The sequence below is a fragment of the Homo sapiens genome, chromosome 1, assembly GCF_000001405.40.
Source record: "Homo sapiens chromosome 1, GRCh38.p14 Primary Assembly".
Taxonomy (NCBI): domain Eukaryota; kingdom Metazoa; phylum Chordata; class Mammalia; order Primates; family Hominidae; genus Homo; species Homo sapiens.
The window spans coordinates 12,254,422-12,268,323 of NC_000001.11; the positions used below are offsets into that span (position 1 = coordinate 12,254,422).

Genomic DNA, 13,902 nt, shown 5'->3' on the forward strand with positions numbered 1-13,902 from the left:
TCACCTTTGGTGGCATTCCCTTAAGTGATATTTAAAAAGTCATAAATCATCAGATATATTATTGTTTGTGAAGGATTAAAAAAATCTCAATCTTTTTTTTTTTTTTTTTTTTTTTTTTTTGAGATGGAGTCTCGCTCTGTCACCCAGGCTGGAGTGCAGTGGCGTAATCTTGGCTCACTGAGATCTTTGCCTCCCAGATGGAAGCAATTCTCCTGCCTCAGCCTCCCAAATAGCTGGGTTTACTGGTGCCCACCAACATGCCCAGCTAATGTTTGTATTTTTAGTAGAGATGGGGTTTCGCCATATTGGCCAGGCCGGCTGGTCTCGAACTCCTGACCTCAAGTGATCCACCCGCCTTGGCCTCCGAAAGTGCTGGGATTACAGGTGTGAGCTACCACACCCGGCCAGTTTAATCCTTCTGTAAATAATTTGTAGGTGGTTTAAGTGAAACGGGGGAAAATAACTCATTTTTTTCCTCCACCCAGGGTTATCTTTCACTTGGATACTATTGTACATGATGGCTTTCTTCTTTTTTTTTTTTTGAGACGGCATCTCGCTCGGTTGCCCGGGCTGGAGTGCAGTGGCACGATCTTGGCTCACTGCAACCTCCACCTCCCGGGTTCAAGTGATTCTCCTGCCTCAGCCTCCTGAGTAGCTGGGATTACAGGTGCATGCCACCACGCCCAGCTAATTTTTGTATTTTTAGTAGAGACGAGGTTTCGCCATGTTGGCCAGGCTGGTCTTGAACTCCTGACCTCAGGTGATACACCTGCCTCGGCTTCACAAAGTGCTGGGATTACAGGCGTGAGTCACCATGCCCGGCAGGTTTTTGTTTTAATTCGATTACATAAACCTGTATCCATACAGTAAAACAATATGCAGCTATAAATAATAAAGGTAAAGATCTTTATGATGAGTATGTAACAGTCTCTAACATATAGTATGAAGTTAAACAAACTAAGGTAAAAACAGCATATATAGCATTTATTTAAGAAAACAGAAAATTACAGGTTTATCTGCATATGTACAGAATGGCTTGGGTGGGAGACATAAGAAGCTGATGTCGTTGGTTGCCTCTGAGGAGGTAAGTGGGTGGCTGGGGGATGAGACTAGGAAAGAGATATTTGACCTTTTTTTTTTCCTTTAAAATTTTAAACGATGTGAGTGTATTACCTATTAAGAAATATAAAGGTTGGGCGTGGTGGCTCACGCCTGTAATCCCAGCACTTGGGAGACTGAGGTGGGCGGATCACAAGGTCAGGAGATCGAGACCATCCTGGCCAACATGGTGAAACCCCATCTGTACTAAAAATAAAAAAATTAGCTGGGCATGGGGGTGCATGCCTATAATCCCAGCTACTCGAGAGGCAGAAGTAGGAAAATTGCTTAAACCGGGGAGTCGGAGGTTGCAGTGAGCCGAGATTGCATCACTGCACTCCAGCCTGGCAACAGAGCAAGACTCGTCTCAAAAAAAAAAAAAAAGAAAGAAAAAAGAAATATAAATAATAATAAATTAAAAATACTAGAGAGTTTTATAACCCAGTTTTATAGTGTTTTTGGATTTTGATATAATACACTATTGATTAGATAACATACCAACATGTAACTTGATCCTAAAAACATTTGCTGTTGGCCAGGCACAGTGACTCATGCCTGTAATCTCAGCACTTTGGGAGGTGGGAGGATCACTTGAGCCTTGGGGTTCAAGACCAGACAGGGCAATATAGTGAGATCCTGTCCCTATATAAAAAGAATAAAAATGAATAAAAACAAAACAGACAAAAATATTTGCCGCTGTGACACAGCCTATGGCTGAGCTCCACTGTTTGTCATAAAACCCCAACATTGTAAAAGAGTGACTACCAGAAGGAAAGCCATTCGGAGCAGAGCAGGTGTTCTTGTGACACACAGGAGGCCATGGCCAGGAGCATGGAGAGTCGCAGCCATCACTACGTCCTGGAGCCTGTGTTTGCATCTGCTCTTTTGAAGAGAAACTGCTCCAAGAAGCCCCTGCGGTCTCGGCACAGTCCCCGTATTGATTGTGATATTCAGCTGGAGACCATTCCCTTGAAACTCTCTCAGGTATGCCCTTTCTTCTCAGTGGCATCTACTTACTGTCAAACTGGTGACTGCAGTGAAAGTCTTGATATTAACGTATCCTCAGCAGGAAAGAAAGTTCATGTGAGACCATTTCCCTCCAGACTAAAGTTGTGTTAGGTATAAAACTCACCGTCTGTTACATAGTTAAATTGGGTTGATCTCAGGTTAGTTTTTTTTTTTTTTTTTTTTAATTAGTTGGTGGTATGGATTGGAAAGGAGGCTAGTTTTGTTTTGGTATTTTTAAGAGCTGAACAAAAAATACAAGAGATACGGCAATGTATAGGCTTAACTGTCAGGGTTCAGAGAAACATGTCACTTGATGCTGATATTTTGGTCTTTCAGTTTGCACTGGGTTTCAATTCAGTGGATCAACTAATGTGAATTGTTCTTGTTAGATATAGGTCTTAACTGAGTAAAAGAAACAAACCTATTCTAACCTAGTATCTCTTAACCTCTAATACAAAGCTGCAATACCGGCAAATCATGGAATTCCTCAAGGAGCTGGAACGAAAGGAGAGGCAGGTGAAGTTCCGAAGGTGGAAACCCAAGGTGGCGATATCTAAGAAGTAAGGGCTTCTCAGTGTGGTCATGAAATTCATGTTAGAGCCTGTTCTTGCTATGTACATAGATCAGAAATATGCCTCACTGTCCTTTACCCATGTTTGGAGATAAAAGTACAGTTGATTTTTCTGGTCCTTGGAATGCCATTCCCATTGTTTATCATCATTGATATTCTTTCTGTATATTTATTTGGTGTCATTGGCTTACTCTTAGACTGAGTGTAGTAAAATTCAGAGGATCCTCTCAGTCTCATTTAGCAAGTAGACTGATGTTGCTCTGGTGGGATCTGGTGTGTATTATAAATACTTTAAATATTCTTTGAACCTACTTCCCTGTGTTTTTTCTCCCAGGTTGTTTGGTCAACATTTACATAGTACTCTTTGCAGCCTCCATAGCAAAACTAAATCCTGTTTTCATGTTGCAGTGATAAACTTGACCAGTCTGATATAATAAAGCTTTTTAAAGATCCTATGTATTTCCATGTCTTTAGTTAGAAGTATTCACTTAAAAATCTTTAGTAGTCAAATCCTCGGTAATTATCTTAAGATGGTATTTACCTTACAGTCAGCCTTCGATATTCTGTCAGTAGAGGGGAGGGATATTATAATTCAAACCAATTGAGAACTGTGTTATTGATATATAAATTGGGGATCTATTATTTGATGTTCTTTGGCAGATTTGCCTTCTCCACCTAGTGGTTTAATATTAAGACGAACTTAATATATAAACTGGTGGCTGACAAGAGAAAAGATGTCTCAGGAGAGGAGTGGGGTTATGTGGATTGTCCTGGATTGGTAGCCTTTTCGTTGCTTTTGTTGTAAGAAGTGATTACATCGTTATGGACTATTTCAGCTGCCGAGAATGGTGGTATTTTGCTTTGAATGCTAACTTGTATGAGATCAGAGAGCAGAGGAAACGTTGCACCTGGGACTTTATGTTGCACCGCGCTCGTGATGCTGTATCTTACACTGACAAATATTTCAACAAGTTAAAAGGAGGCCTGCTGTCCACAGATGACAAGGTAAGTGGACTGTGGTCTTGTGTTTCTTGTCTTATTCAGAAGATAAGAATGTTCTCTCAAAGACTAAAGAAAATGGGATCTGTGAAGTAATAAAGTCCCATGCCAAAGGGGCTAAATTTTATAGGATAGAGTTGGTCTTAGTAGAGTGAGAACTAAGCCAGGAGCATCCTCCACCTTCTGCTGCCCGAGGAGAGCCGGGCCATGGGGTAGGAGGAAGAAAAGACACCGTGGTCCTGCTATGCCTTTGCGCCCACACCCCTGCCCCCCAGCTCAAGAGACTGTTTCATACAGTCACCCGCCTCTCTTCAAAGCCTGATCCCAGTCCTAATTCTCTTACTTCAAAGTCTGTAATCTCTGTGAACTTTGGCCTACGTTTTCTATAATCCCAGTGGACTTGATTGACCTTGGATATTTAGGTTGTAGAGGCTAGGCAGAAAAGGGTGAAGTACGTGGTGAAGGCAAGCTCATGTTTTAGTTAATAGTAGGGCTAAAGGCCCTTAGAATGCCCCCTCCTGGAGCCCTGGCATGGGACCCCACCCCTTCTCTAGCTGTCTGCCTGCTCTCTTTTGGGGGAAGGTATTGGGGATTGCTTTGCTTCTTGTTTTATTTCAGTTTTGTGAGCATCAATTTTTGCAGTAGCAGCTTAGACTGTGTCTGAGATTTTGGCTCAGGTACTGCCCCTTAACTAACCACTTGTTTAGTAGACTCTTCTAAGCACAAAGGAATACTTTTCCCTTCAGCACCTGCTGTGTGGTCAGTGAGGGCAATGCTGAAGCCCTAGTGGTTAGTGCCTCTCCTGCCGGCACCCTGAGGCTGTGGCCCATTCACTTTGCTAATGCTTTTATCATCAGTGTCAGACATGGTTACTGACACAGGAACCTTATGAGAAGGATAAAATAAACCAGACATTTTGGATGATTTTCTTTTCTTTTCTTCTTCTTCTTTTTTTTTTTTGTGTGACAAGGTCTGGCTCTATTGCCTAGGCTGGAATACAGTGGCATGATCATGGTCACTGCAACCTCCGTCACCCTGGGCTCAAGCCATTCTCCCAACTCAGCCTTCCAAATAGCTGGGACTACAGGCCCGCATCACAACTGTCTAATTTTTTAATTTTTATGGAGATGAGTTTCATCCTTCTGCCCAGGCTGGTGTTGAACTCATGAGCTCAAGTGATTCACCTGCCTCAGCCTTCACCACCCCCAGCCTACTCTTTTTATTTTTTTTTTTTTTGAGACAGGATCTCCTTCTGTCATCCACGCTGGAGTGCAGTGGTGCAATCTTGGCTCACTGCAACCTCTGCCTCCTTGGTTCAAGGGATCCTCCCACCTCAGCCTCCTGAGTAGCTGCACGTCACCATGCCTGGCTAATTTTTGTATCATTTATAGAGACAGGGTTTCGCTGTGTTGCCCAGGCTGATCTGGAACTCCTGGGCTCAAGCAATTTGCCCGCTTTGGCCTCCCAAAGTGCTGGGATTACAGACCTGAGCCACTGCGCCCAGCCCTTGGATGATTTTCTTAAAGGCACACACAAAGACATAGAAGAAGAGAAAATCTTATTTACAACTGAGATGAGCAAGTAAAGACGTAAAATCTCCTTTGTTCTTAATGTTATGGTGTAAGAAGCAGTTCAGGACAGCTAATTCCGCTTTTAAAAAATGTAGCTGGGTATCATGGTTCTTTCCTAACTAGAGTGAAACAAGTGAAAATGACCACGTTCTTGCTAATCTCCTACATGAAGTATAAAAGAGCTAGGGCCTGCACACTTCCTGTGGAAACTTGGTCCTGGGTTTCAGGAAGAGCGATAACTAGGCTGCTTACTCCTCATCTGAGCTAAGGCATGTGGAAGCCCTTTGTAAACGGGGTCAGTGCTGTCCAAAGTGTGGGTGCTGCAATAGTCCATATGCTTTAGTGACTTTTTTTTTTTTTTTTTTTTTTTTTTTTGAGATGGAGTCTTGCTCTGTTGCCCAGGCTGGAGTGCAGTGGCGCCATCTCCACTCACTGCAGGCTCCGCCTCCTGGGTTCACACCATTCTCCTGCCTCAGCCTCCTGAGTAGCTGGGACTACAGGCGCCTGCCACCACGCCTGGCTAATTTTTTGTATTTTTAGTAGAGACGGGGTTTCACCATGTTAGCCAGGATGGTCTCAATCTCCTGACCTCGTGATCCGCCCATCTCGGCCTCCCAAAGTGCTGGGATTACAGGCGTGAGCCACCGCACCTGGCCACACTTTAGTGACTCTTAAAACTGAGTACTGCTGTTCTTCGCTCCCTCTCCATTCACCATTCATCTCAGGTGTCATGAAACTTGTTAGTGATTTTTTTTTTCCCCTTCTTTCATAGAGCTCAATTTCTGGAGAATTGTTGGTGATGTTTTTAAGACCAAATAACATCTACTGGATTATATGGAAAAGCTACTTAAGCCAGAAACAGCAATCATGGAACTATTTATCTTGTTTCTTGGCCTTCAGTGGAAATGCAGGGGACCAGAGAGGTTTCTGTGCTTTACTTTTAGTGGCTTGTGAGGGTGTCCAGTGTCTCTGGATCTACAACGTTTGTGTTTTTGTTTATTTGCTTTTGTTTTCACCCAAACAGGAGGAAATGTGTCGGATTGAAGAGGAACAGAGCTTTGAGGAATTGAAGATTTTGCGTGAACTGGTTCATGATCGATTTCACAAACAGGAAGAACTAGCAGAGGTAAGAAATCCTCTACAAGAGGATTTGTTCAGACCCAGCACACCCTGAGTGCTACAGTTTTGATGTGCTTGTGCTCCTGTGGGGAAACAGCAGCATATCACAGCTTGCTTTTATCTTTGAGTACTCATCTCTGCTCCTTTGTGATTGACACAGAGTCTGCGGGAGCCTCAGTTTGATTCTCCAGGAGCCTGTCCGGGAGCCCCAGAACCCGGTGGAGGCAGTGGGATGCTGCAGTATCTCCAGTCCTGGTTTCCTGGATGGGGTGGCTGGTACGGGCAGCAGACCCCAGAAGGGAATGTGGTTGAGGGACTGTCAGCAGAGCAACAGGAGCAGTGGATTCCTGAAGAGATCCTGGGTACGGTGGGAGCTGGCCTTCACTTGATTCAAACAAATTCGTCTGTTATTTGTGCAACAGCTTGTGGTATTTTTCAAATTTAACAAAAGTAGATATTTGGAGAACAGTTTATGTTCATAGAGGCTGAGAGAAGAAGTATTTTGGGAGATACTCCATTTGTAACTCTGTGACTAAATGTGCGTATTAATGCAGTTTCAGAAAGAGCTGAGAGGCAGAGCGTGTAAAAGAACTAAATTTGAGCAAGTTCAACAATTTTAAACTCTGAAGTTTGAATACCAGTCTAGAGCCTCTCTTAAACCTGCAGTGTCCGATATCTAGCCATAGGCACAAATGGCTAACTAAAATTTAATTCGAATTGAATACAAGTAAAAATTTAGTTTCTTAATTGCACTAGCACATTAGCCACGTGTGCTCCCAGTGCTCAGTAGCCACATGTGGTTAGTGGCCACTGTACTGGATATCGCAGATGCGGACCATTTCACCATGCTGGGCAGCACTGCTTTATACCATCCCTTATCATGAATCTTATCCTCCCTGGTTTGATAATAAGTTGATAAGATCCCTTAAAAAACAATTAGGGTTGTTTTACATTAGGAAATATTATAAAATAGTCACCCATGACTTTGGAGTTCTTTCTTAACAAAGGGAAAAATAGTTAAATAACATCATCATAACTGTGATCAGTCTGCTTGCTGGTGCTTTTTTATTCTTCCACGTTTTTTCTTACAGTCTTTTCTCCCTTACCATTTAGGCACTGAGGAGTTTTTTGACCCCACTGCAGATGCCTCGTGTATGAACACGTATACAAAGCGAGATCATGTCTTTGCCAAACTGAATTTGCAGTTGCAGCGAGGTACAGTGACTCTGTTACACAAGGAGCAAGGAACTCCTCAAATGAATGAAAGTGCTTTCATGCAGCTCGAGTTTTCAGGTACACTGCCCCCAAGAAACTACCTGCCACTGTTGTCTCTCTGTGGGCCAATGTCCAGGCGATTCTCATTATTTGCTGTGGGGATAGTCTAGAAAGTCAGTGCGAAAACTGTATTAGCTAATGTGGAACCATTGCTCTTAGGGGAAATACTGGGTTAGGTTCATGTGAACCTCTGGTCATAACATTCATCAACTGATCAGTACCTAACCTTAATTTTTAAAATGCGTGTCTGTATTTAAAGACATTTAATATAGATATACAGACAGTCCTTGACTTAGGATAGTTTGACTTTGGATTTTTCAACTTTACAAGTGGCACAAGAGTTATACACATTCAGTAGAAGTCATACTTCGGATTTTGAATTTTGATCTTTTCCTGGGCTAGAGATAGGTAGTATGATATTCTCTGAAGATGCTGGGCAGCAACAGTGAGCCACAGCTCCCAGTCAGCCATGCGGTCATGAGGTAAGCAGCTAATAGTCTACAGTGGACTGTGTGGCCAGATGATTTTGCCTACCTTTAGGCTAATGTAAGTATTCTGAGCACTTTTAAGGTGGGCTAGGCCAAGCTGTGATGTCCAGTAGGTTAGGTATATGAAATGCATTTTTGACTTACTGTATTTTCTTTCTTTTTTTTTTTTTTGAGACAGAGTCTTGCTCTGTCGCCTAGGCTGCAGTGCAGTGGCATGATCTTGGCTCACTGCAACCTCTGCCTCTTGGGTTCAAGCGATTTTCCTGCCTCAGCCTCCTGAGTAGCTGTGACTACAGGCGCGCGCCACCATGCCCAGCTAATTTTTGTATTTTTAGTGGAGACAAGGTATCGCTACGTTGGCCAGGCTGGTTTTGAACTCCTGACCTCAAGCAATCTGTCCTCCTCGGGTTCCCAAAGTGCCAGGATTACAGGCCTGAGCCATTGCGCTCAGCTGATTTATGATATTTTCAACTTATGGTGGGTTTATCATAACTCCATCCTAAGTCAAGGAGCATTGTGTTATTGATTTATTAACATTGAACTCATGGCCTATAGCACTATACCTCATGCCTGAATGAAGTTTCTCTAATACTCATATTTTTTTTGTAACGCACATCACAGTCTTCTTGCACTCAGGACCACTAGGCAGCGTTTTAGCACTAGGGGCTTGTTTTAAACAGTGAAACCACAAACAAAAAGCACAGAAGCATGAAAAACATGGCGCCAAATAGAAGACCATGGGAGGGATGCTTGTTCACAGTGTGAGAGCTGAAATGAGGAGGCAGAGCGTTGCCATGTTTGAACTCAGGTGGGAATGTGCATATCAGGTGGCTTGAATTTTTTTCTGCTCTGTGAGTGTCTGAATGACAGAGTGCCATGAGGATTAATTTTGGAGTTACAAATTTTAGCAAGTAAACAAATGTGCAAATATGGAATCTGTGAATAATGAGGATTGACTTGACAGTATTTGCCTTCTTTTTGTGACTTTGAATTAAAGGTGTATAAATAAATATGCAGATGTTTTTGTGACTTTGAATTAAAGGTGTATAAATAAATATGCAGATGTTTGGACATCTCACAAATATTTTTATTTCGGTCCATAAAACAGCAGCTTATTTGAGATTCCTGAGTGGCTGAAGGACAAATGATTTTTTTTAAAAAGCCAGTTTGTTTGACTTCATAATGTAGAAAATTGAGCTGTCATAAACTTAGTATTAACTAGCAGATTACTTGAACTGAATTGAAAAGGCACTATTTAAAATTCCTTCTGCTAGGAAACTTCTAATGGTGTTTGTGTGTTTAGACAGCTGGATAGATACAGGCACACTTGATTTTATTGCACTTTGCCTTATTGCACTTCATAGACACCACATTTTTTACAAATTGACAGTTTAAAAATGAGCAAGTCTATAGGTGCCATTTTTCCAACAGCATGTGCTCACTTTGTGTCTCTGTGTCACATTTTAGTAATTTGCCCAGTATTTCAAACTTTTCCATTATTATTCTGTCTCTTATGGTGATCTGTAATCACCAATTTGTAATGTTATTATTGTATTTGTTTTGGAGTGCTATGAACCATGCCCATAGAAGATGGTAACTTAGTCAATATTGTGTATGTTCCAACTGCTCCACCGACTGGCCATTTCCTTGTCTCTTTTCCTCTCCTGGGGCCTCCCTATTACCTGAGACACAATGTTGAAATTGGGCTAATAACCCTACAATGGCTTCTAAATGTTCAGGTGAAAGGAAGAGTCACATGTCTCTCACTTTAAATCAAAAGCTAAACGTGATTAAGCTTAGTGAGGAAGACGTCGAAAGCTGAGATAGGCCAAAAGCTAGGCCACTTGTGCCAAACAGTTAGCCAAGTTGTGAATGCAAAGGAAAAGTTCTGGAAGGAAATTATTAGTAAAAGTGCTACTTCAGCGAACACATGAATGATCAGAAAGCAAAGCAGCCTTACTGCTGCAATGGAGAAAGTTTGGTCTGGATAGAAGATCAAAGCAGCCACAGCCTTTCCTTAAGCCAAAGCCTAATGCACAGCAAGGCCTTAACTCATTTCAGTTCTGGGATGGCTGGAAGAGGTGAGGAAACTGCAGAAGAAAAGTTTGAAGCTAGCAGAGGCTGGTTCATGAGTTTGAAGGAAAGAAGCCATCTCCATAACATAAAAGTGCAAGGTGAAGCAGCCAGTGCTGATGGGGAAGCTGCAGCAAGTTATCCAGAAGATCCAGCTAAGATCCTTGCTATGCTAAATGATAGATTTTCATTGTAGATGAAAAGGCCTTCTATTGGAAGAAAATGCCATCTAGGACTTTTCATAGCTAGAGAGGAGAAGTCAATGCCTGGCTTCAAAGCTTCAAAGAACAGGCTGACTCTCTTGTTAGGGGCCAGTGCAGCTGGTGACTTTAAGTTGCTGATTTACCTTTCTGAAAATCCCAGGGCCCTTAAGAATTATGCTCAATCTCCTCTGCTTGTGTTCTATCAATGGAGCAACAAAGCTTGGATGATGCCAGTACATCTGTTTACAGCATGGTTTACAGAAGATTTTAAGGCCACTATTGAGACCTACTGCTCAGAAAAAAAGATTCCTTTCAAAATATTACTGCTCGTGGATAATGCATCCAGTCACTCAAGAGCTCTGCTGGGAGAAGTATAAAGAAATTAGTGTTGTTTTCATGCCTGCTAACACAACATCCATTCTGCAGCCCATGGATCCAGGAGTAATTTCAACATTCAAGTTTGTTTGTTTCTTTAATTAATTGCTTAATTTATTCAGAGATGAGCTCTCACTTTTTTGGCCAGGGTGGTCTCAAACTCCTGGCCTCAAACGATCCTCCTGCTTCAGCCCCCAAAGTGCTGGGATTGCAGGTGTGAGTTACCACTCCCAGCCTCAACTTTTATTATTCAAGAAATACATTGCATAGGCTGTAGCTGCCATAAATAGTGATTCCTCTGATGGACCTAGGTAAAGTATATAGAAAAGCTTCGGGAAAAGATTCACCATTCTAGATGCCATGAAGAACATTTGTAATTCGTGGAAGGAGGTCAAAATATCAGCATTAACAGGAGTTTGGAAGAAATCAACCCTCTTGGATGACTTTGAGGGATTCAAGACTTAAGTGGAGGAAGTAACTGCAAATGTGGGGTAAATAGCAAGAGAACTAGAATTAGAAGTGGAACCTGAAGATGTGACTGAATTGCTGGAATCTCATGATCAAACTTGAATGGATAAAGAGTTATTTCTTACAGATGAGCAAAGAAGGTAGTTTCTTGAGATGGAATCTACTCCTGGTGAAGATACTATGAACACTGTTGAAATGACAACCCAAGGCTGGGCGTGGTGGCTCACGCCTGTAATCCCAGCACTTCGGGAGGCCAAGGCAGGAGGATCATTTCAGGCCAGGAGTTCACAACCAGCCTGGGCAACATAGCAAGACCCTATCTCTACTAAAAATTAAAAAAAAAATTAGTTGGTCATGGTGACATGCTCCTGTAGTCCTAGCTACGTGGCAGACTGAGAGGTAGGAGGATCCCTTGAGCCCAGGACTTTGAAGTTACAGTGAGCTATGATTGCACCACTGCACTCCAGCCTGGGTGACAAAGCAAGACCTTGTCTCAAAAAAGAAAACAAAATAAAAAAGGAAATGACAATAAAGTTTTTAGGATACTAAATCAACTTAGTTGCTAATGGCAGGGTTTGAGAGGATTGACTGTGGTTTTGAAAGAAATTCTACTGTGGTTAAATACATGCTTTATCAAACAGCATCACCTGCTACAGAGAAATCTTCTGTGAAAGGAAGAGTCAGTTGATGTAGCAAACTTCGTTGTTGTCTTATTTTAAGAAATCACCACAGTCACCCCAACACTTCAGCAACCACGCCTTGATCAGTCAGCAGGCATCATCATGTAGGCAAGGCCTTCCATCAGCAAAAAGATTACAACTTGCTGAAGATTCACAGGATTGTTAGCACTTTCTAGCAATAAAATATTTTAAAATTAAGGTATCTATATTGTAGTTTCAGGCATAATGCTATTGCACACTCAGTACACTACTGTATAGTGTCAACATCACTTTTCTATGCACTGGGAAACCAAAACATTTGTGTGACTTGCTTTATTGTGATCCTCACTTTATTGCAGTGGTCTGGAACCAAACCCGCAATATCTCCAATATGTGCCTGTAGATAGATAGGGTTTTTTTGTTTGTTTGTTTAATTTCAAGGAAAAATAGTTCATCTATAATAATCTTCTGTAAAATAGAATATCTAATATTTTCAAAAACACATTAGGCTCTCATAAGCATTGTATCAACTATTTTATTTATCTTTTATAGATGTAAAACTTCTAGCAGAGTCTCTTCCTCGAAGAAATTCCTCGTTGCTTTCAGTCCGGTTGGGTGGACTGTTTCTTCGAGACCTGGCTACAGAAGGAACTATGTTTCCTCTTCTAGTCTTCCCTAATCCAGTATGTACAACAGTTGGATAGTTAATGTATCTAAGGTGTTGGTAAATTGTAGTCTGTTTTAGGCAAATGATAACTGATTCATTCTGACATTTGATCATCTTGAGACTGATGGGCTGGGATTAGAAAAGTTTCTTGAAATTGTTAAAGAGCAAATGTTGGTGACATTAATGGCTATGCCTTCTTGCACTCCTGTATTGTAGCCACCATGGTATATTTTGCTCTGATTTGGAAGAAAATGCTATAAGACCACTATTTTCTGCATTTCAAGGTCAATGTTTGGGTTTCCTCTGTATCTGACAGTCATTTTCATGCCTTCTGACCCTTAGTTACTGACATGAAATCTCGTCTCGCCAGGGTCCCAAAACAGAAACATCTCAAGTTTTCTATATATATGTAATTTTTAAAATATAATATACGTTATTAACGATAAGATCTTTGATCTTAAGTTGGCAACAAGCTGTCTAAATGGCTGAGTAGTTAACCCCTTATTCTGTCCATAGTTTTGTTTTGGTTGGGGGAACGTTATGGAGAGGGTGGGAAGGCTGACTTAAAGTTTGAAAAGTTAGACATGTTTAATTTTCATTTAGCAACTGTTCATTAAATGTGCCGAGTGCAAAGTAGCATATTGTCAGTACAAAGGAAAAGATGTGGTCTCACTAGATTGGAAAAAGGGCAGAAAACGAAACAATTCTGCAAGTAGTCAATCTGAGGTAAAGTGAGTTTTGATTTGATGGTGCTAAGGGAGTGTGTTGCTGAAGGGTAAGATGGGTTTGTTTAGTGAATTGTCCCCTCTCACGCTGACGTTTACGCATTTTTGTGTGTTTGTTTAATAGCAAAAAGAAGTTGGCAGAGTCTCACAATCTTTTGGTCTACAAACTACATCTGCAGACAGAAGTGATCATTACCCAGGTAATTTGTCCTATGTTGTTTTTTTAAAATTTTTAAATTTTTTAAATTAATTTTTCTTTGAGACAGGGCCTCGCTCTGTCACCCAGGCTGGAGTGCAGTGGTGTGATCTTGGCTCACTGCAACCTCTGCCTCCCGGGTTCGAGTGATTCTCATGCCCTTGCCAGGATTACTGGTGTGTGCCACCATGTCTGGGTAATTTTAGTATATTTAGTAGAGATGGGGTTTTGCTTTGTTGTCCAGGCTGGTCTTGAACTCCTGAGCTCAAGCCACCCACCCTCCTTGGCCTCCCAAAGTGCTGGGATTACAAGTGTGAGCCACCATGCCTGAGCTTTTTTTTTTTTTTTTTTTTTAATAATTTAAAAATTCTTTTTGGGGGACTTTCCAACAAAAACCAGATCAGTAG

General features: G+C 41.6%; 1 protein-coding gene across 2 annotated transcripts in view; it reads left to right on the forward strand.

Annotated features, from left to right (window-relative positions):
• Positions 1 to 13,902, forward strand: part of VPS13D (vacuolar protein sorting 13 homolog D) — a 282,018-nt gene that overhangs the window by 24,392 nt on the left and 243,724 nt on the right. For both annotated transcript variants that reach the window (NM_015378.4, NM_018156.4), the window contains exons 8-15: positions 1,912 to 2,082; positions 2,566 to 2,666; positions 3,514 to 3,682; positions 6,272 to 6,373; positions 6,527 to 6,728; positions 7,480 to 7,659; positions 12,460 to 12,590; positions 13,424 to 13,499. In NM_015378.4, coding sequence (NP_056193.2) covers positions 1,912 to 2,082; positions 2,566 to 2,666; positions 3,514 to 3,682; positions 6,272 to 6,373; positions 6,527 to 6,728; positions 7,480 to 7,659; positions 12,460 to 12,590; positions 13,424 to 13,499 — 1,132 coding nt within the window. The remainder of the gene's footprint in view (positions 1 to 1,911; positions 2,083 to 2,565; positions 2,667 to 3,513; positions 3,683 to 6,271; positions 6,374 to 6,526; positions 6,729 to 7,479; positions 7,660 to 12,459; positions 12,591 to 13,423; positions 13,500 to 13,902) is intronic.